Source organism: Homo sapiens, chromosome 12, assembly GCF_000001405.40.
Source record: "Homo sapiens chromosome 12, GRCh38.p14 Primary Assembly".
Taxonomy (NCBI): domain Eukaryota; kingdom Metazoa; phylum Chordata; class Mammalia; order Primates; family Hominidae; genus Homo; species Homo sapiens.
In genome coordinates, this window is record NC_000012.12 from 39,128,253 (window position 1) to 39,151,728 (window position 23,476).

The 23,476-nt window shown below is 38.9% G+C and overlaps 1 long non-coding RNA gene across 1 annotated transcript in view, besides 1 other annotated feature; it reads right to left on the reverse strand.

The window, feature by feature from the left end:
• The window catches only part of LINC02406 (long intergenic non-protein coding RNA 2406), a 57,760-nt gene extending 40,542 nt beyond the window's left edge, over positions 1–17,218 (reverse strand). The window contains exon 1 of the long non-coding RNA NR_183477.1: positions 17,116–17,218. This is a non-coding gene — a long non-coding RNA (long intergenic non-protein coding RNA 2406). The remainder of the gene's footprint in view (positions 1–17,115) is intronic.
• Positions 1,352–1,853: an enhancer, noted in NCBI's record as "NANOG hESC enhancer chr12:39523406-39523907 (GRCh37/hg19 assembly coordinates)". NCBI's record gives its function as "activates a minimal SCP1, AML or CMV promoter by ChIP-STARR-seq in naive H9 embryonic stem cells {active_cell/tissue: H9 hESC(naive)}" and the evidence as "EXISTENCE:reporter gene assay evidence [ECO:0000049][PMID:30033119]".
• Positions 17,219–23,476: the final 6,258 nt, after the last annotated feature.

Here is a 23,476-nt window from a genome sequence, read left to right on the forward strand (position 1 = left end):
AAATGTACATTGGCTAATTCAAACTTGTGAGGACTATTTTGTACACATTAAACAAGGAAGACCACCTGTGAATTGCTAAAGAAGAGCATCGGCCTTTCTTTAGATCATGCACAGGTAAAACAATGTTTTATAGATTCTAAAATCTCTGGCCATGATCCTACAACCAGAAGTAAAACAAAGGCAGAGATGTGACAATGACATATTTTAAGCCGTTTATTTAAGCCAATAAATCACTGGTGTATTTATCCTATAAATATACCATATAAAAATTACTATACTTACTAACCCTATAAATCAGTAGTAAATCTCATTCATATCTTATCCAACTACCAGTACTATTCTTCTAAGCAGCCCAAGAAATAAGTATAAGGTAGTTTCAGTTCACCTATAAAACCAGAAATGGCCCCTGAGGGCTGCACCTGGAAGCCTTGCACACTTCTCATTGTTTGGGCCTTGTTTCCCCGCTGAACCATATCCTTTACCTTATTAAAGCATCACATGAATATACTCTGAGTCTTGTGAGTCCTTTGCTCTTACTTGTTACTTTCTTTTGAGTTTAATTAATATCAATCTCTTCATGTGTACCTCTTATAACGGAGGCTTAAACATCTCACAAATTGTGAATTTTCCCTATACATAATTAGTCCTCTGTAAAACAAGATATTAAGGATATAACATAAGCATATAACAAAGTCAGAGGCAGCACCAACAATTAATTAAATTTGAAACATTTTTTGATATTTTCCTGTTTTTCTAAATTAATGTACATGTCCTTTCTTTATCAAAAAAAAAAGAAGAAGAAAAGAAAGTAAATTAGGGAGATGATTAAGTAATAGGGATAGTACAGGACACCCAGAGGTTAGCTACTCTGAAGACTTCTTCTGCCATAGGCTGTTACTACAGATAAATCAAAATTAGTCATTTACCATTAACACATTTGCGTATTTCAGTGTTACCAGACATTCCCCATAACCAGCTCTTCCAACATTTGTCCTGGAATAAGATGTGCTCAGCGTCACCCATGTGAGGTACAGGCTTGAGCTAATAATTCTGTGTGTTCAATATCCCCAATTCTACCCACTACATCTGTAGACAGGTGAGATCAAGGTTAACACTAAGAGAACTTTAAGTGAAATCAAGGTTAACATTAAGAGAACTTTAGGTGAGACCAAAGTTAACACAAAGAGAATTTTAAAGAGTAATCACAAAAAGGCACTCTAAAGCTGGGCATGGGAATAAGAGACAAAGGATTCTCTGACTCCAGTGGTTGCAAATCTGGCTAAGCTTTAAAAAAAAAACATCAGGGAGATTTTTTTAAATGCTGGTGGAAAAAAAGACAATAGTAAAAATTTTAAAAAAATAGCTTAATGTTGATTGTCAGGTCACTGCTTCTAGCTGTACAGGTCACAACTCCAAGGGCCACACACTGCATACACTTTCGATGTGAATGGAGTCCCATGGAGCTGTGCAACACAGCAGTCCTGCTGGGCCCTACTATACAATTTCTGGAGATGGTGATAGGGCTTTTATGCTTTTAAAAACATGATTCTAACACACAGCCAGAGTTGAGAACTAATGGTCTAAACTGTTTTTTCCATATGCTAATTATATGCCTTTGAGACTCATGTTGAGATTGTTATTGTTTTCAATATCTGCCTGCTGAGCAGATATTTCTTCTCCATTAATACCCTTAGGAATTTATCTTTTTTATATATTTAACAATAATCTTTCCCCTGTTGTGAAAGAACATTTGTTTTTATTCCTACTTTTATTTACCTTGCTCCATCATATCTAAAGTTTGAAGAAACTTGTTGAATCACACACTTTTATGTAATTATATAATTTCACTTAAATAATAATGTAATTTTTACATAGATATAGATGTTATTTTTTCCAGATACTCTGCACATTTCAACAGTTCTCTTTAGGAAATAAACAAAACTTGTATCAAGAAAATTATCTTCTAAGCATTATATGGCACATATATTTTAAACACCACTATAATCTGCTTTAAAAAAAAAGCCATTAATAAAAAGGTCAAATCATGTGTTAGTGGGTAATCTGGGTTGTTCTGTTTTGCTTTCTGGGCCTCACAACCTTCTTGGGAGACCTGCTGTGTCTCCATGCCATGAGTGGCTGGTGGGGCTACTCATTACAGGACTAGGACCATCTCCTGCCACAAACCCCCGGCCTCATTGTCACCATAGGGTAGGTGAGGATGTGACTTGGTTAAGGCTAATTTGAACCTCAGGACAGAAAGCAACTGGAGTTGGGTTAACCGATGAGAATGCCCTACCGATAGTTCAGTAATTCCCTGACCTACCCTAGGTAACCATATTTTCTTTTTATTCTATGAGTAAACAAATTGCTTTTTGCCTAAGTTAGCCAGAATTGGTTTCTGTGATTTGCAACTAAAGGATACTACAATTAGAGAAATTGGTACCAGTGTAGAATTCAGGCGAAGGAATCCTAAGCATATTTGCAGTATTTGCATTTACTTATTAAGTTGAGGTAAGTCCAATGAAAATAAAAATCTACTTCAAATTCCAGGAAGGGAAACTGGTAGCCATTGATTGCTACAAACTGCAAAACAACAAGTCAAGTTTTCAACTGCAGTCATCTCTGATGGTGAAGCTCTGGCAGGACAATTAGCTGCTGCCATTTACCAAAATAAAGTGGATAGGAAGATTTTTAGACTGTTGGGGAAAATAGTGGCTCTGAACAATGTAAAGGAACTTAACGAAAAGAAAATTAAAAGTTCCCATTTTAAAGCCCTCCCTTCAAGGTATGGAATCAAACTCAGGACCTTTTAATAACCTGATGCAAGTCTCATATTGATGTCCTTTAAGACTGAGATTATAGAAAGTCAAACACAAAAATTTATGCTGTGGATTTCCAGACTGACCCAGATAAACTGACACCATCTCAACAGACCACTTTTGTAAACATTAAAACACTAGTCAGAAAAAACAGTAAGATATTAACAAGTTTAACATTGATATCTGAGATGTATTGGAAGAAACAGGGAATTACAGAAACACAAATCTCTCAGAAACACCATTAAGTTTTCTTTACCTGAGGTTATCTTGGCCCTCTTGCAGGAGAAACACAATTGGCCCCCCATATTCATGGGCTCTCAATCCGTAGATTCAACCAACCAAGGATTGCAAATATTCAGAAAAAAAAAATCCACAATGTTCCAAGAAGCAAAGTTAGAATTTTCCACCGCACCTAAGTTGAATCCATGAAAATGAAGTAATGTATAAGCACTGTATTCGGTATTATAAGTAATCTAGAAATGTTTTAAAGCATATGGCAGCAAGGCACAGTGGCTCACTCCTGTAATCCCAGCAATTTGGGAGGCTGAAGAGGGAGGATCACTTGAGGCCAGGAGCTCAAAACCTGATAGGCAACATAGCAAGGCCCTGTCTCTACAAAAAATTTAAAAATTAGCCAGTTGTGGTGGTGCACACCTGTGGTCCCAGCTACTTGAGAGGCTGAGGTGGGAGGATTACTTGAGCCCAGGAGGTTGAGGCAGCAGTGAGCTGTGATTGCACCACTGCACTCCAGCCTGGGCAACAGAGCAAGACCTTGTCTCAAAAAAATGAATAAATAAAATTAAAAAATTAAGGATACAGTAGAATGTACATAGGCTATATATAAATACTACACCATTTTATATAAGGGACTTGAGCATCTGTGGATTGTGGTACCCATGGGGGTCTTGGAACCAATCCCTCAGAGATATTGAGGGATGACTGCATATACAACTCATTTATGACCTCCTCTCACTGTTGCTCTAGTACCCAGGATAATAACTCAGCATGGCATGGGTAATACACCTACTTTGAAGAGTGGAATGCTAGATTTATTGTGCATCTCACCCACTTCTCTCCTCATTCTTTGCCCATTAGAACTCAAATCAATCTCCATTCTTGCTGCATAAAGACACTTGGGAGAAAACACCAGTCTTGGGAGAAAACATCAGTCTTTTAAATATTGATTACTGACTGTGATCTCCAGATCAGCAATCTATTCAGCAAGTGTATGAAATGCAAAAGGCTTTCTAGTTTCAGCAATTTTCACTGGAGCCCAAAATGACTGAAATCAGGTGGCATCATCAACATTAATAGGCACTGGGACACATGAGGTACAGAAAAACTTACTACATGAAAAGATCTCTGATTCTGGCTAAAATATGAAGTTCCAGGAATGAAACCAATAAGCAATCACTAAGGTAATCTCTGATTTGTAAAACAGAAAAAAAGAATCCAAATCTAGTGAACACCAGCATGATAAAGTTACGCTGCTCAAACATTGCCTCTCAAACAGTTCCAGACCCTGAGTCAGTTCACTCCCAGCAGCCTTTAAGTGAAAGGGGCTGGGTACCATTGAGAGAAAATGCCAAATTAATATTATTTTGTATTCTTGAATCTTACTCCTAACCTTCTCCAAAAATATACATGGCTATTTATCTGGGTAACTGTGTCTTGGGAATAGGGAAACATACCAAACTCTTTTTTTAAATGATTGAATACAGGCATTAAAATAGCACTAATGTCTGGGAATCCACACTGCCACTGTATCCCAATGGACAGAGTGGAGGCTATGGAATCCATATGATAAATGTTACTCTGTCCTGAGTTTGCCTCACAGTAGTTTAAGGAATAACTTAATCCCATTCATTGATTATTGCCCTAGTTCCTAATTGTAAAGCTTGAGTGATATCTTCAGCAATTAACAGTACCTCTACATTCACTCTTTGACCATGTAGCAAAGCCTGTTTTCAGAGGAAAAGCCATACTGAAGCCACTATCAATTCTCCTGACAATCATAAGAGCAAACAAAAAGCCACAACTACATGACTTGGGAAATTGCATATAATCATGTCATTATAAATACTTAAAAGATGCACCCATTGCAATTTATATTATACCCTCCATTAATTATCCAATTTAACACACACAGAAGATACATGGGTATGTGAAAATGGCACCAAATTGTTATAAGTGAAATTCAGTACCATTGAGTGGTGACTCCAATTGCTAATGTAGTCTCATTACTGTTGTAAATTAACATATTACCTGGTAATTGACAGGCAGTTACTACTTTATAGAATGCATACTTCTCCTTTTGAATAAATATTAAATAACAAAATAACAAAAGTTTGCTTTTACCTGCCAGAGGCTGTAGTATGTTCTTGCACACATACACACACATACAAATATAGATATAGATATAGATATATACACAAACATATTTTATATTTCAGCTATATAACCTACTCATAACTGGGTTCTATTTGATCCTCATAGCCACGTGTGGTGCCAGCTTAGATAGGACTTGAAAGCTGGTCCTTTCCAAGTTACCATATTGCCTACTCTGTCAGCTGTGTTTACGTACTTGCTTCATGGAAGAGAGTTTAATTGTGACTCCTGAGAAATATACAGTCAGGGACTGTACTGTGAAAGCCAAGGGCTCTCCTTCTATGACTTTGCTTGATGATACAGATTAATGGAAGACTATAGCAATTCTGCAATCAAGGAACCCTGCCCAGTTGAACTCCTAGCTGAAGTCCAAGGCAATGTTAGAAGGAGTAGTAGAGAAAGAGAGTGATTAATTACATCTAATATCTCATAAGCAGTTACAGAAACAAAATCTGTAGCCTGCATCTCTTGGTTTGCTTTGTATTTAGCACATAGAGTATCTTATAGTTTGGTTTTCATTACAGAGTGAACTCTACTACACTGATTCTGATTGAACAACATGCTAACATATTTCTCAAAGCAAGCCAAAATAGTCTATCAGATTTTTGGTTTCAAAGTAGCACTCCAGCAACTGTATGAAAAATAGATTGAAGGGCCGGGCGCAGTGGCTTACGCCTGCAATCCCAGCACTTTGGAAGGCCGAGGTGGGCAGATCACGAGGTCAGATCGAAACCATCCTGGCTAACACAGTGAAACCCCATCTCTACTTAAAAAAATACAAAAAATTAGCCAGGCGTGGTGGCGCGCGCCTGTAGTCCCAGCTACTCAGGAGGCTGAGGCAGGAGAATGGCGTGAACCCGGGAGGCGGAGCTTGCAGTGAGCCGAGATCGCGCCACTGCACTCCAGCCTGGGTGACAGAGCAAGACTCCGTCTCAAAAAAAAAAAAAAAAAAAAAGAAAGAAAGGAAAAATAGATTGAAGCCGCGCGTAGTCCCAGCACTTTGGCAGGCTGAGGCAGGTGAATCACCTGAGGTCGGGAGTTCGAGACCAGCCTAGCCAACATGGCAAAACCCCGTCTCTACCAAAACTAAAAAAATTAGCAGGGCATGGTGGCAGGCATCTGTAATCCCAGCTACTCGGGAGGCTGAGGCGGGAGAATCGCTTGAACCTGGGAGGTGGAGGTTGCAGTGAGCCGAGATCACGCCAGTGCACTCCAGCCTGGGTGACAGAGCAAGACTCCATCTCAAAAAGAAAAAAAAAAAAAAGACCGAAGACAAAAAGCTACAGGTAAAAAGAACAATCTGGAAGCTATTACACGAGTGTAGAAAGAAGTTTTGAGGCCTAAATCATGGGGAATGAAATGGAGGTTCAGGAAAGGACCAGATATTTGCTATATGAAATAACTACTGTGAATTATCTTATTAAAAGTTTGAATGTAGTGAATAAACTACATCTAACTTCTCAATAGCATTGTTTCAAAGATAATCATCAAAATCCTCTATTGACACTTCCTTTTTAAAGGATTTAGCTATCTAGAAACTTCATTGATCTGAAACTAGTTCGTAATTTTTAAGTTACAAGTTTTTGTTTTTTTGGTTTTTGTTTTTTTTTTTGAGACAGAGTCTTGCTGTGTTGCCCAGGCTAGAGTGCAGTGGCACGATCTCGGCTCACTGCAAGCTCCGCCTCCCGGGTGCAAGCCATTCTTCTGCCTCAGCCTCCCGAGTAGCTGGGACTGCCGGCGCGCGCCACCACGCCTGGCTAATTTTTTGTATTTTTAGTAGAGACGGGGTTTCACCGTGGTCTCAATGGCCTGACCTCGTGATCCGCCCACCTCGGCCTCCCAAAGTGCTGGGATTATAGGCGTGAGCCACCGCGCCCTGCCACAAGTAATTTTTCAGAAGGCTTCTGAGTGGCCAAATTAAGTGTCACAAGGTTCACTTAGTGGTCTCACTTAGAGCCTGCTAACTCTTTTACAGACCCCTTCCCATCTTTTTTTTTTTTTTTTTAGAATTGCAACTATCTGGATTCCATGTCCAATTGAAATAAAAAGTTGGAAGCCCAAACTCTGATACTTTCAGGAGAGGGTAAGCAAAGCAGGCAAATGAGTAAAGGAACCCTGTATATGACAATAAGGAGGGGTGAAGACTGAGACAAAGTAGAGAACACATGCCCATCTATCAGGTTGGTGCAAAAGTAATTGCAGTTTTTGCCACTATGCAAAAACTTTTATTAGGTTGCTTGCTTTTGCACCAACGTAATACAAGGAACAGCCACTGCTCAGCATTAGCCAATTGTAGCCAAATGGAAATGAAAGTTACACAGATCTGATTTTTCAAAATAAATTAAATGTAAATTTTACAGGAAATCTTCCAAATTTAGGCACACGATAAACTCAAATTGTTTCCAACATGAGGTCAGCCAAGCAGAACATCTGTGTAACGTTTCTGCGGGCTCTATGTGTCAGTCCACAAAGTACCAGGCTCTTCTGTGCTCTCCAATGTAAGTGTTAGAGAAACCCCTGCTTACCAGGCCTCTGGTTTAATACAACATTGACTACAGTGGCGACATCTTGAAGTGAGTAGTTAGGCACTCACGAGGCACCTATAAGGTTAATACTTCTAGTCTGAAAATAGCCACATTTTAAGCTGACCACCAATTATAATTACAGAACATTTATGGCCATATAGAGCATCTCCCACCCAGCCCACAGAATGTCCAGATGCCCTAAGAATACAGCCCACTTTACTTAAAGACAGCACCAATGAACAAGTTTAGGTTGAAGGATTAATGGTCATCGATAACAATAAATGCCACTACCTTTAGTGAGCACATCTGCACATTTCAATTTTAAGTATAGCTCTTTATAGTTTTTTATAAGTAAAGACACTAACAAAGGATTGCACATTCCTCCTCTTGCTTTCTAAGGATGCCCTGCTCTGTAACCGAGCAGTTTCCAATAAACTTGCTTCTTTCACTGTTTTCTGTGACTTGACTCAAATTCTTTCATGCATGAGATCCAAGTACCCACTCTTGGAGTATGGATGGAGATCCTCTTTTCCAGCAACTTAAGGACAAAGCACCTTAATCCCTTCAATAAGTCTAAGAATATCAAGCATTCCACAATACTTAATATTTGCAACAACAATTCCTGATCATAAAGCAAAAGGAAATTATATTTAGTATGATCTGTTTAATAAGGCTGGAGAATTATATTGTAGCCAAATGGAAATGAAAGCTACACAGATCTTTCAAAATAAATTAAATTTAAATTTTACAGGAAATCTCCCATATTTAAACACACAATGAACTCAAAATTGTTTCAACATGGGGCCAGCTACCTCCTGTTCAATAAGTCTAAGAATATCACCATGTTATAGCATTTCACAATACTTAATATTTGCAATGACAATTCCCGATCATAAAGCAAAAGGAAATTAAATTTAGTATGATCTGTTTAATAAGGTTGGAGAAGTATATAATACATCTGAGAAAGTTTCATATCCACAAGGATTAAAGCTTGAAAATGGAAATGATTTAAGCTATTTGTAAACCTTGGCTGTCTAGAATGACATATTACCCAAAGCCTTAATCAGCAGAGTTTTCCTTTATGGTCTTATGCCATTAGTTGATGTACAGTTTGTCATAGCTATTATTTTTGTGATTTGCCAATGAATAGTTAGTAGTGTAAAAATTGAATGATTATGTTTTTTATCTCATGCTGTCATCTCAGCTTTTTCTTATAAAATTATCATTACCAGTGGAGGGTGTCCAGGTTCTCGGTGTTTTGAACAGAGAATTGGACAAAATGCACAAACAAAGCAAGGAAAGAATGAAGCAACAAAAGCAGAGATTTATTGAAAATGAAAGCACACTCCACAGGGCGGGAGCAGGCCTGAGCAAACGGCTCAAGGGTCCCATTTACAGAATTTTCTGGGGTTTCAATACCCTCTAGAGGTTTTTCATTGGTTACTTGGTGTATGCCCTATGTAAATGAAGAGAATATTTACTGTCATAGCGGAAATGTTTCTGTTTGATTTAGTTCTAGAAGTCCTTAGGTTCCCTGCATCCAGGCCCTATTCTCCTGCCTCAATCATTCATGGGAAAACCTCTGGAATGGTGGTTAAAACTTCTTTAAAGTCTCTGGAAATTGTCCTAAGTGCATATGACCAATGAAAAAAGAAAACATTTATTCAGTAAAATCTACTAAATCTCTATCAAAATTGAAAGAGTCTGTCATTTGAACCATGAGCTACTCCATCCCCATCCCAACCCTGGCAGCCTAGTATGATGGAAGACCTACCCTACGCAGGTGGAGCCACTAACACAGGATTCCCTTTCTCTCTAGCTCCCAATGTAGGGCTACAGTCTTTCCCCAGGAAGGACACTTCAGGAGCATTTCTCATCCCTCTACTTCTGTACTGCAGAAGCTCTATTCCAGGGAAGAGCCAATAAGAGATACAGGATCCTCTTTTTCCACACAATCCCCATTTGTAAAGAGGAAGCCCTATCCCAGGCAAAATATACTGAGAATCCTGGGACCCTGATCATCCTCACCCTCAGCTTGCTAGTAGGGCAGAGGTTCCATGCCAGTATAGGCAACCCAAGATGATCAGAGGCTACTGCCCCCACCAATGCCTTATTTGTAAACAGGGTGTCATGCCCAGGGGGAAAGGCTGGCAATAAGAACAAAAAGCTTCAAAAAGCTCCCTAAGGAAATTTACTTTATATAGAATAGCGTGCGGAAACGTTCAAACCTAAGGACGCTTTTGAAAACAACAGAGATGTTGTAGCAAGCAACTAAGAAGGGGTATGAAAGCAATAAGTGAAATCATAGACCAAGCAGAATTTTTTTTTTTTTTTTTTTTTTTTTGAGACGACCAAGCTGAATTTTACCAGAGAGAATCAGGGAAAGAGACAGTTAAGAAGAGCATTCACGAGGCTGGAACAAATCTCAAAGACTAGTTTCCTAGACTACCCCTGTGAACAGGACTGGATTTAATTGTATGCAACTGGAGAGCAATCTACGCCCCAGGGCATTGTCAAAAACAATAGTGTAATCAGTTGGCAATTAGTGTTGGCTTACAGCTGAGCCTGATACCAAGCGAAGCAAATAATTTACTAAAGAAATCAAAGAAATAGAAAAAGAGAACCCTTCTAAAACCACCATTGTCATAGAAAGATTGTGCACATGTCCAAGGCTGCACTACATGAAGCAATGTCAGTGGCTGCACACTGCAGGTAAAATAGACCTCTCAAAAATAGTCCAGATAAGTCACCAAACAAATAAACAAGCAAACAACATCAAAAACAAGCCTGAAAGAGTAGAGTTCAGTAGCCAGAGTTACTACAATGTGTTATTTAAAATGTCTAACTTTCTTTTTAACAAAAAAGTTACAAGATATGCAAAAAGGAAGAAGTGTGACACACACACACACACACACACACACACACACACACACACAGGCAATAGAAACTGCCTTTGAAGAGGACCAGATGGTGGACTTGCAGATAAAGATTTTAAAGCAGCTACTGTAAATATATTTCAAAAACTAAAAGAAACAATACTTAAAGAAGAAAGGTATGATGACAATGTGTCATCAATTAAGAGAATATCAATAAAAAGACAGAAATTATGTTTTCAAAGAACCAAATGAAAATTGTGCAGCAAAAATGTACATTAACTGAAATGAAATATTCACTAGAGGGACCCAATAGTAGATTTCAGATGACAGAAGAAAGAAATCTGAAAATTTGATGACAGAGCAATAGAGATTATGCAATCTAAAAAACAGAGAGAAAAGGTAATGAATAAAAATGAGCAGAAACTCATAGAAATGCAGGGACACCATTAAGCTCACCAACATACATGAAATGGGAATAACAGAAGAAGAGAGGGGAAATGATGGAGCATAAAAAATATTCAAAGAATAATGGCTGAAAAATTCCCAAATGTGATGAAAAACATTTATTTATACATCTACAAAACCCAACAAAATCTAATTAGGATAAGTGCAAGGGGATCTACACCAGGAAACACCATAGCAAAAATGTTGAATGTTAAAGACAAAGGGAAAATCTTGAAAGCAGCAAGTGAGAAATAACTCATCCCATACAAGAGAACCTCATTCAAATTAACAATTGACTTTCCATCAGAAACAATGAAGACAGAAGGTAGGAGAATGACATACTCAAAATGCTGAAAGATCAAAAAGTAATTGTCAACTGAAGACCTTATTTCTAACAAAACTATCTTTCTAAAATGATGGCAAAATAAAGACATTCTCAAATATATAAAAATGAAGAGAATTTGTTACTAACAAACCCATCTTACTAGACATACTAAAGGAAGCTCTTTAGGTTAAAAGCAAGTAACTCCAGGCAGCAACTTGAATCCACACTAAAAAAACAAAGAGGGATAATAAACGTGATTTTGTAATTATAAAGAACAGTAAAAATATTTCTTCTCTTTTCTTCTTTTAACTAATTTAAAAAGCAATTGTAACTGCTTTCCTTCCTAATAGTATAGATAAATTATCTTGACTCCAAGCTAATGCCTATCCCTCCACTTTTGTACTAATTCATTCCTCTCTTTCTTATGCAAGGACATACATCCCGCAATTCTTCCCTTTTTATATCCTTCATCATTATTTTTCCCCTTCCTATGAGATTATTTCATTTAGCACCTAAATTATACAGTTATTTATGCTGGTTTATTAGCAAGAATTATGAGAGTCTGCACATATTACAGTTTATGTTTTTCAGAGTTTTTCTTACATAAAGAAGAAAAACAAACATTTGGGGGAGGAAAAATTCCAAGCCCATTAGAAGTAATTCCAATGCAATTTAAAAATTATCATCACTTGTGACATGTACTTCGTCATTTATTTGTACAATAAATATTTATTTGCACATAGGTAGAAAATTTAGTTCTACAAAATAAATCAATATCAAATATACACAAACATCAAATTTTACCAACGGGTTAATCACACAAGAGAAGAAAACAGAATGTGCACAGCTAAAAACCAGAAAGCTTCAGAAATAAAAAAATGAAATATATTTTAAAAATAAATCATACAACAAAACAAAGGCAAGCCTCTAATTTGTTGACTTGCCTTAGCCAGGTAACTCCATCATGCTCCCTAGTACTTCCCATGTACTTGTGCTATCATACTCCAACCACTTATAGAGCTATCACCGTGACCAGGCCCTGAACAAGTCTTTATATTAGTCAATTCTTCATTCAACAAGTATTTGTGAAATACCTACTATGTTCTAGTTATTGATCATACAAGAGTGAACAAAATAATAAAAGTCTATGACCTCATGCATCATATGTTCCAGTGGAAGCAAATAAAACCAATCAACCAATAAATAAATAAATAAGAAAGAACAACCAACCGATCCTAAGTCCCATGCAGAGACTGTGCGTGTCACAGTGACTATTCCAGATTGGAATGTCAGGATAGGTCTCTTTGAGATGACATTTAAACTAAATCCCAAAATTCATCAAGGAGGATTTCCATGTTACAGATGAGAAAGCTTAAGCCTTAAAGAAGTTAAGTAACTTGACAATGTCACAGAGCTAGTATGTAATAGAACCAGGGTTCTTGAGTATTACTGATAGTGTATTACTTATTTGCAACTGAAAAATTAATTTCTCCCCAAGGTGGGGAGGAGCCTAATCTTTAGTTCTTCCCAGTACATAAGAAACCAATATTTCCATTCTATCCTTCTGCCTGTTATTTATTGAGTGTACATTTCCTTTAATAAATGATCGATAAATATGACTTTAAAACATACACACACACATACATTGTACATAGTGACTCCTACAATAAAGATTGTAAAACTTCAATATGTGCATGAATTAACTGATGAACCACTTAGACGTGCAGTTGGCAAGCCTGCAAATCACAGACTCAGAGGCGGTATGGTTGAGGAAGAGAGGATATAGTACTAACTATGCATTTTTTTTTTCTGAAACAAACACCACAGATGCTTTTGTTGCAATGGTCAACAGACCACATCTTGAAAACCTCCTACTATGGTCTATCACAGTAATTCTCAAACTCCAGTATGAATTAGAATCACCGGGAGGGCTTGTTAAAACAGATTTCTGGGTCCCACCCCAGAATTTTTGATTCAGTAGGGCCGGGATGGTACCTGAGAATTTGCATTCTAACAAGTTCTGAGAAGGTATCGATGCAGCTGGTTCAGAGACCACATTTTGAGAATCTCTAGTCTATTCAACAGAAAAGTCTCTCTAACATGGCAATAACCTACAATTTTATGGAATTCCTCACTATTTCCTCAAAAAAAGTCCCATAGCAAATAAAGAAAAAATGCACAATGCGCCTTCTAATTTGAAATAGAATATCTCATAATAGCATGGTCATCATTACAGCTTGTGGATTTACTGATCTTGATGGTTGGTTGGAGCAAAATGGGGATAGGTGTCACGTAAAAAAAGTGGTTAAACCTGCAGGAAGTTCTGGTTACAGCACCTGTTAGGTGAGTAATTGATTGGTATCCTTGAAACTCTGCTTCAGCTGGTCTGTTTTCTACCTCAAGAACCATGCCAAAACAAAACAAGACAAAATAAAGCATACGGGTCTGTTTGAACACATGCCTAAAAACAGCTGAGCAATTCATCTACTATTGATTTTATTGATCTGATGCAGGGAGGTAACTTCACTCTAAAACCTTTGTTGATACAAACTACCTATAATTTGCCAAATTATTAAACCCAATATGTATCGTAAGCCAAAAATAAAATCCCAAGGCCGCCAACCATCTGAATGGACCCCTCCTTTCTGCCATTCTAGTTCAGAACCTGATAGAAGAGAGGGTTGGACAAGCCTCATTACAGCTCCCCAGAATTTACATCAACACAGACCTTAGATTTGATAAGAAGCATTTATAGTCTATTCTCTCTGAAGCCTGGTACTTGGAGCCTTCATCTACAAGATAAAACCTAGGTCTCCACAAATCCAGACATTCCTTTCTATTGATAATAACTCTTTCAACCAATTGCCAGTCAGAAAATTTTAAAATCTACCTATCACCTGGAAGCCCCCATCTTTAAGTTGTCCAGCCTTTCCAGATTGAACCAATGTAATTCTTACATGTATTGATTGATGTATTGTGTCTCCCTAAAACGTGTAAAGTAAGCTGTATCCTGACCACCCTGGGCACATGTCATCAGGACCTCCTGAGACTGTGTCATGGGTGCATCCATAACCTTGGCAAAATAAACTTTCTAAATTGACCGAGACTTGTCTCAAGTACTATAGCTTGTCTCAAGTTTATAGCATGTGATATGGCTTGGCTGTGTTCCCCACTGAAGTCTCATCTTGAATTGTAGCTCCCATAATTCCCACGTGTGGTGGGAGGGACCCGATGGGAGATAACTGAATTATGGCGGCAGTTTTCCCCATACTGTTCTCATGGTAGTGAATAAGTCTCAGGAGATCTGATAGTTTTATAGGGGGAAACCCCCTTCATTCTCATTTTCTCTCTTATCTGCCGCCATGTAAGATGTGCCTTTTGCCTTCCCCCACCACGTGGAACTGTTGAGTCCATTAAAGCTCTTTTTCTTTATAAATTACCGAGTCTTGGGTATGTCTTTATCAGCAGTGTGAGAACAGACTAATACGGTACGTTATAGAAAAGAAAGCTATGTATTAGAACTTAGTTTGGCATCCAGAAGTGTATCTCTCTGTAATCACTCTTTTATTCTACATTCCCTTGTCATTTGTTTCAATCTATACTGTGCCATTGTACAATACTTTGCTTTACTGTTTCTCTCTTGTTTGTACATTTCCACAAGTTAATCAAAAGCTCCTCCAAATCAGGAATCTCCTCTGTCTTGTATCTCCTTACAGCATTACTTTATTTTTATAAGTAATACTGAGGAAAAATATTGAGGAAGAAATGTCTGAACAAAGCCAGGCTCCTAGGGGAATACAGTTGTTCCAGGGTATCACCTAGGATTCATTACAGGACCCCCCGCCCCCAAACCTCCACCCTTACCAACTAGGTATTAAGGATGCTCAAGTCTCTTACATAGAATGGCCTTGTATTTGCATATAACCTATGCACACTGCACATCCTTCCATACACTTTAAATCATCTCTAGATTCCTTAAAATACCTAACACAATGTAAATGCTGTGGAAATAGTTGTTATACTGTATTTTTTGTTTTTAATTGTATTATTTTTTTTTCCTCCGAATATTTTCCAGCCCTGGTTAGTTGAATCCACAATGCAGAACCACGGATACAGAGGGCCAATTGTATTAAAACAACAACAACAACAACAACAACAACAACAAAACACTCTTGCTTTGATAAACTATTGTTACATTTATCTCCTTTGTGAAGAATTAATGCAGATTGTAGCAATAAGCCATTATGACTTTTAGAAAATCTGTAAAGTGCACGTAAATATTATTTGATGCAAAGTTATTGTTGTTTGGACAGAGGTAACAGTTATTAAGAGAAAGAAATGAACAGAGTAAATATGTTTTAAAAATAAAAAGGCTATGGAGGAACCTGAGTCTAAAACACACCTCCAAAAAGTCGCTTTCAGTGGCCACCTTACCCCTCCTCATCTTCCCTGGAGCCTGCTCCCCCTGGTTTGGATCAACTTCTATCAGGCACATCCTTCCCGAACTGGACTTCCAGGTGTTCAACTCCCTCCCTTCTTTGTCATGTTCTCAAAGGACCTCAGTCCATTATAATGTCTTCTTTCCCCCACGCCCCATCATTGCAAGCTGTCAGTGTAATTAGTCATAACATAGGCTGTTTAATACCTCTTAGATTTAGTTTTCTGAAAAGGGATCGTTGCATCTTCCACAGACTGTGGAACATAGAAAAATTCTAGCGTTCAGCGAGTCAGTGCATCCCTCTGAATAGTCACCAAGATACTGTTTTAGTTTGGATATTTAAATTATGTCAGGTATAGATCCCTAAAATTGGAGATGAAACAGTGAACATGACTTTCTATTTTCTTGTATGGTGGTAAGAACACTTAATATGAGATTACCCTCTCAACAAATGCTGAAGTGTGCAATACAGTAAGGAGTATCAGATGTGGGACAGTCAAAAGAGGATCTAAAACGCAGGAGACGGAGGTTAAGCAGCGGTTTCCCGGGACTGGGTTGTGCTCCCGAACGTTCGCAGGTTCCAGGACCGACCGCTCACCCCGGCGGCAGCCGACCGGGTCCCCACTCAACGCCGAGCTACCCCGGCTCAGCCCCCTGGCCGCGAACTGGGGGTCCAAGTGGGAGCGGACCTTGCGCCACCTGCCCCGCTCGCGGGAAAGGCAGTAGGAGGGAGGCGACTAGGTCTCTAGCGACAGAATCCGCACCTGCCCCACGTGCCCTGGCTGCAAGTCGCGACGCCTGCAAACAGAGGGCCCAGGGCGCCGGGACTGGGGAGGGGCGGGCCTGGGCGGCCCAGCCGGTCCCGGAGAGGCCGCCACAGAAGCCGGCCCCGAGCCCTGGGGCACATTCTGGGGAGGGGGGTGGGGTTCCGCGGCCCTTATCACTACAGCCCAGGAGAGAACCCGGTTTTGAGCGTGGTTTCCCCGCCTGCCCCCATTTGCACGCCGCGACTCTCTTTTTTAAAACAAGAGTGGAAGAGAAAGGCGCCAACTTATGTCCCTCTTGCTCTTCGGGGCTTCATGAAGGGACCTCCTACCCACACCCACGCCCAAACCCGCCACAAACTCCAGAGCGGGACAGAGTCCGCGACCTTCAGACGACCCCGGCGCGAAAGCGCGCGCCCACTCGGAGTGCCCCGAGCCAGCGCCGGCGAAGCAGGTGGATTCGACCGCCCCCAATTCGTCCCGCTTCAGCACCCGAGTCACTCCCGTTCCCGCCTCCTGGTGCTGGAGGACCTCACCCAGCACCGAGGGGCACGGACAAAACGGAGCGGGAAGTGCCCAGTTCTTGACGTCGGATCCGTGTTCGCGGCCGGCTCAGGGTCCGGCGCTGAGGACGCGTGTGCGGGGTGGTCCGCCGCCCCGGAAGGTCGCGAACTCGCCGCCTCCAGCGCCGGCGCCTTAACCCCGCCGGTCCCGGCGCCAAAGTCCCGACAGTGGCGGACGCCGGCACCAGGGGCGATGGAGAGCAGGCGACACCGAGGGTGTCCATCCGGTCCACCCAACCTGGTGCAAGGCTCTGGGAAGCGCGCTGACAGGATTTCAAGGCCAGAGTTAAAAAGGCGCGTTCCGTGGTAACATTTTAATCCACTCACTGCCAGCTGCTGCCACTTCTCTTGCTACTGCACACGGAAAGCCCTCTTCCACCTCTCTCCATTTCCCCAATTCTATAATACCTCCATTTAGTTTCATGTTTGTTTTGCTTTTGCATATTAAAAGATTTATAATAATAGTTCTGACGCACAAGGCTTAAGAGACAAGCTATATAGACTGCAATCCGATTTTATAGGCTTGAATCCACCGTCGGTTGGTTATGAGATGCTTAGAAAATTATTTCCATTCTCTGTTCCTCATTTTCCTCACATGTACAACATGGATAATAACAGTACTGATCTCATAAGGTTATTTGGAAGATATGGGCATATAGCACAAATTGCCTGATGCCGAGTAAGCACTCAGAGCTCTCCTCCTCACAGAACTGTAATGTATTACAACTGAAAGAGCTTTAAAAACACGATTTTCTGAGGCTGAGCGCAATGGCTCAGGCCTGTAATCCCAGCACTTTGGGAGGCCGAGGCGGGCGGATCACCTGAGGTCGGGAGTTCGATACCAGCCTGACCAACATGGAGAAATTCGTCTCTACTAAAAATACAAAATTAGCTGGGCGTGGTGGCACATGCCTGTAATCCCAGCTACTCGGAAGGCTGAGGCAGGAGAATCACTTGAACCCGGGAAGCGGAGGTTGCGGTGAGCCGAGATCGCGCCATTGCACTCCAGCCTGGGCAACAAGAGCGAAACTCCGTCTCAAAAAAGAAAAAAAGAAAAAAAAAAAACTAAACTAAACCCACGATTTTCTATTGTACTGCGAATTTGTCGATTAGGGATGGGTGGGAAACTTCTGTTAGTGATCGGACTTTCAGGCTGGGCAACCTGGGTTGCAGTTCTACCTTCACCTCTTACAAAATGTGTGACCTTGGGCAAGTCACTTCACCTTTCTGCACCTCAATTACATCCTCTGTCAAATGAGATAATAGCTCTTGTTAGTGAGGACTCAATAAGCTAACATTTGCAATTAATTTAGAATATTTACTATCAAATGTATATGCCTTTATAAAATGTAGAATTTACCTTTTATAAGGAGGTAACTTGTAATTCAAATTCTATGCAAATCCATCAGAATCTCAGCCTTATTACAAACACTGCTAGCTACATTTGCAATGTACTCTAACCATTTTCATATTCTTTCCTTTCAACAAGCAATTACAAGTTAAACATGATAGTTAACATTTTCAATGACTGTAAGTAATAATTTTGGGAAAAATACTGAATACCGAATTATACTAGTTGAGGTATAAGATGTTAGTGACAATGTTAATTATTGTTTCCAATATTACTTATAAAATATACATTTTATACTTTTGAGGAATCAATTCAATATTCAGTGAATGTCTCCCTAAGCCTCATATTCACATTCTTTTTTTAATTTTAATTTTTAATTTTTGTGGGCATATATTAGGAGTATATATTTAAGATTTACGAGGTATATGGGATATTTTGATACCAGCATACAATGTGTAATACTTACATCAGGGTAAATGGTGTATCCATCCCCTCAAGCATTTATCCTTTGTGTTACAAACAGTTCAATTATACTCTTTTAGTTATTTTTAAATGTACAATTAAATTATTGTTGACTATGGTAACCCTGTTGTGCTATCAAATACAAGTTCTTATTCTTTCTTTTTAACTACTTTTTGTACCCATTAACCATACCCACTCCCCGCCAATCCCCCGACTGCCAGCCCCAGCCTCTGGGCCTTCTCTCTGTCTCCATGAGTTCGATTGTTTTAATTTTAAGCTCCCACAAATAAACAAGAACATGCAAAGTTTGTCTTTCTATGCCTGGCTTATTTCACATAACATGACCTCCAGTTCCATACATGTTGATGCAAATGACAGGATCTCATTCTTTTTAATGGCTGAATAGTACTCCATTGTGTATATGTACCACATTTTCTTTATCCATTCATCTGGTGATGGACACTTAGGTTACTTCCAAATCTTGGCTATTATGAATACAGCTGCAATAAATATGGGAGTATAGATATCTCTTTGATATCCTGATTTCCTTTGTTTTGGGTATATACACAGCAGTGGGACTGCTGGGTCATGTGGTAGCTCTATTTTTAGGTTTTGAGGAACCTCCAAACTGTTCTCCCTAGTGGTTGTACCAGTTTACATTCCCGTCAACAGTGTATGAGCATTCCTTTTCTCCACATCCTCTCCAGCATTTGTTATTGCATTTCTTTTGGATAAAAGCCATTTTAACTGGGGTGAAGTAGTTTTGATTTGCGTTTCTCTAATGATCAATGATGTTGAGCACCTTTTCACATGCCTGTTTGCTATTGGTATGTCTTCTTTTGAGTAAAGTCTATTCAGCTATTTTGCTAATTTTTAAATTGGATTATTAGATTTCTTTCCTATAGAGTTGTTTGAACTCCTTATATATTCCTATATTAATCCCTTATCAGATAGGTAGTTTGCAAATATTTTCTCCCAATCTGGGGGTTGTCTCTTTCCTTTGTTGATTGTTTTCTTTGCTGTGCAGAAACTTTAAGCTTGATTTGTTCGTTTTCACTTTAGTTGTCTGGGTTTTTGGGCTATTACTCAAGAAATCTTTGCCTAGTCCAATGTCCTGAAGAATTTCTCCAATGTTTTCTTTTAATAATTTCATATGTTGAGGACTTAGATTTAAGTCTTTAATCCATTTTGATTTGATTTTTATATATGACAAGAGATAGGAGTCTATTTTCATTCTTCTGCATATGGATATCCAGTTTTCCCAGTATTATTTATTGAAGAAACTGTCATTTTCCCAATGTATGTTCCTGGCACATTGGTCAAAATGAGTTCACTGTAGCTATATAGATTTGTTTCCAGATTCTCTATTCTATTCCATCGGTCTACATGTCTGTTTTTATGCCAGTACCATGGTGTTTTGGTTACTATATCTCTGCGGTATAATTCAAAGTCAGGTAATGAATAATAATTCCTCCCATTTTGTTCTTTTTGCTCAGGATATCTTTAGCTATTCTGTGTCTTTTGCAGTTCCATGTAAATTTGGGGATTTTTTTTTCTATTTCTGTAAAGAATGTCAGTGATTTTTGTTTGTTTTGTCTTGTTTTGTTTGAGACATAGTTTCGTTCTGTCACCCAGGTTGGAGTGCAGTCATGTGATTGTAGCTCACTGCAACATCTGCCTTCCAGGTTCAAGCAATTTTCATGCCTCAACCTCTCAAGTACCTGGGACTACAGGCACGTGCCACCACACCCAGCTAATTTTTGTATTTTTAGTGAAGATGGTGTTTTTCCATGTTGGCCAAGCTGGTCTTAAACTTCTGGCCTCAAGTGATCCACCTGCCTCAGCCTCCAAAAGTGCTGGGATTATAGGCATGAGCCACTGTGCCCAGCCGTCATTGGTATTTTGATAGGGATTGTACTACATCTCTAGGTTGCTTTCCATGTTATGGACGTTTTAACAATATTGATTCTTCCAATCTATGAACATGGAATATCTTTCCATCTTTTTGTGTTCTCTTCAGTTTCTTTCATGAGTGTTTTGTACTTTTTAACTGCAGAGATCTTTCACTATTTTGGTTAATTGCTAGGTATTTTACTTTATGAGTAGCTATTGTAAGTGGGATTATGTTCCCGATTTCTTTTTCAATTTTTTTTTTTTTTTTGCTGTTGGCATATAGAAATGCTACTGATTTTTGCATGTTGATTTTGAATTCTGCAACTTTACTGATTTTATCAGTTCAAATAGTTTTTAGGTGGAGTCTTCTGGTTTTTCCAAATATAAAATTACATCATCTGAAAACAAGGATAATATGACTTTTTCCTTTCCAATTTGAATGACTTTATTTTTATTTATTTATTTATTTATTTTTTGACAGAGTCTCACTCTGTCACCAGACTGGAGTATAGTGGCAGCCTCCCAAAGTGCTGGGGTTATAGGCATGAGCCACTGCACCCAGCCAGATGCCCTTTATTTCTTTCTCTTGTCTGAGTGTTCCAGCTAGGACTTCCAATGTTATGTTGAATGTTGTGAAAGTGAGCATCTTTGCCATGTTTCAGGTCTTAGAAGAAAGGCTTTCAGTTTTTCCTCATTTAGTATGGTACTAACTGTGGGTCTGTCATATATGGCTTTTATGATGTTGAGGTATATTTCTTCTTTCCCCAGATTTTGAGGGTTTTTATCATGAAGGGATGTTGAATTTTATCAGATGCCTTTTCAGCATCATTTGAGATGACCATATGGATTTGTCCTTCATTCTGTTGATAAGAAGTATCACACTGATTGCCTTCCATATGTTGAACCATCCTTGCATTCCTGGGATAGATCCCACTTGGTCATGATGAATAATCTATTTAATGTATTGATTAATTTAGTTTGCTTAGTATTCTGTTGAGGATTTTTGCATTAATGTTCACCAGGGATATTATCCTATAGTTTTCTTTCTCTGATGTGTCTTTATCTGCCATTGGCATCAAGGGAATATTGGTGTTATAGAATGAGTTTGGAAGTATTCCCTTCTCCTCTATTTTTTGGGAATAGTTTGAGTAGGATTGGTATTAGTTCTTCTTTAAATGTTCAGTGGAATTCAACAGTGAGGCCATCAGGTCCCAGGCTTTTGTTTGCTAGCACACTTTTTGTTGTTGTTGTTGTTGTTGTTGTTGTTTTTGAGACAGAGTCTCACTCTGTCGCCCAGGCTGGAGTGCAATGGCACGATCTCAGCTCACTATAGCCTCTACCTCTGGGTTCAAGCAATTCTCCTGTCTTAGCATCCCAAGTAGCTGGTATTGTAGGCGTCCGCCACCATGCCTGGCTAATTTTTTGTACTTTTAGTAGAGACGGGGTTTCACCATGTTGGCCAGGCTGGCCTCAAACACTTGACCTCAGGTGCTCTACCTGCTCAGCCTCCCAAAGTGCTGGGATTACAGATGTGAGCCACTGTGCCCTGCTGCTGGGGGACATTTTATTACAACTTCAATCTTGTTATTTGTTATAGGTCAGTTTAGGCTTTGGATTTTATCATGGTCCAATCTTGGTAGGTTGTACATGTCTAGGAATTTATCCATTTCTTCCAGGTTTTCCAGTGTATTGGCATATAGTTGCTCTTAGCATCCGCTAATGATCCTTTGAATTTTGGTGATACTGGGTGTAATGTCTCCTTTTTCATCTCTGATTTTATTTATTTGGGTGTTCTATCATTTTTTCATAGTTAATCTGGCTAATGGTTTGTCAATTGTGTTTATCTTTTCAAGAAAACACCTTTTATTTTTTCTATTGTTTTCTTTTTTCAATTTCATTTATCTCTGCTCTGATCTTTATTATTTCTTTACTTCTATTAATTTTGGGTTTGGTTTGCTTTTGATTTTCTAGTTCTTTAAGATGCACCATTACATTGTTTATTTGAAGTTTGTCTTCTTTTTTTATGTAGGCACTTAAAAACTCCCCTCTTACAATTGTTTCACTGTATCCCATAGGTTTTGGTATGTTGTATCCCCATTATCATTTGTTTCAAGAAATTTTTAAATTTCCTTCTTAATCTCTTCATTGATCCCCTGATCATTCAGGAGCACATTATTTAATTTCCATGTGTTTGTATAGTTTCCAAAGTTCCTCTTGTTATTGATTTTTAGTTCCTTTTTTTTGTGGTGAGAGATGATACTTGATATAATTTTAATTAAAAAAATTTTTAAGACTTGTTTTGTGTACTGACATATGGTCTATCCTTGAGAATGATCTATGTGCTGAGGAGAAGAATGTTGAGTAAAATGTTCTGTAAATATCTATTAGGTCATTTTGGTCTATACTGCAGATTGACCCCTTTATCATTACATAATGACCTTCTGTTTGTCTTTATATTGTTTTTGTCTGGAAATCTCTTTTCTCTGATATAAGTATAGCTAATCCTGCTCTGTTTTGCTTTCCATTTGCATTCAATGTTATTATTGATATGTAAGGAATTACTCCTGCCATTTTGTTATTTGTTTTCTGGTGGTTTTGTGGTCTTGTCTTCCTTCTTTCCTTGCTTCC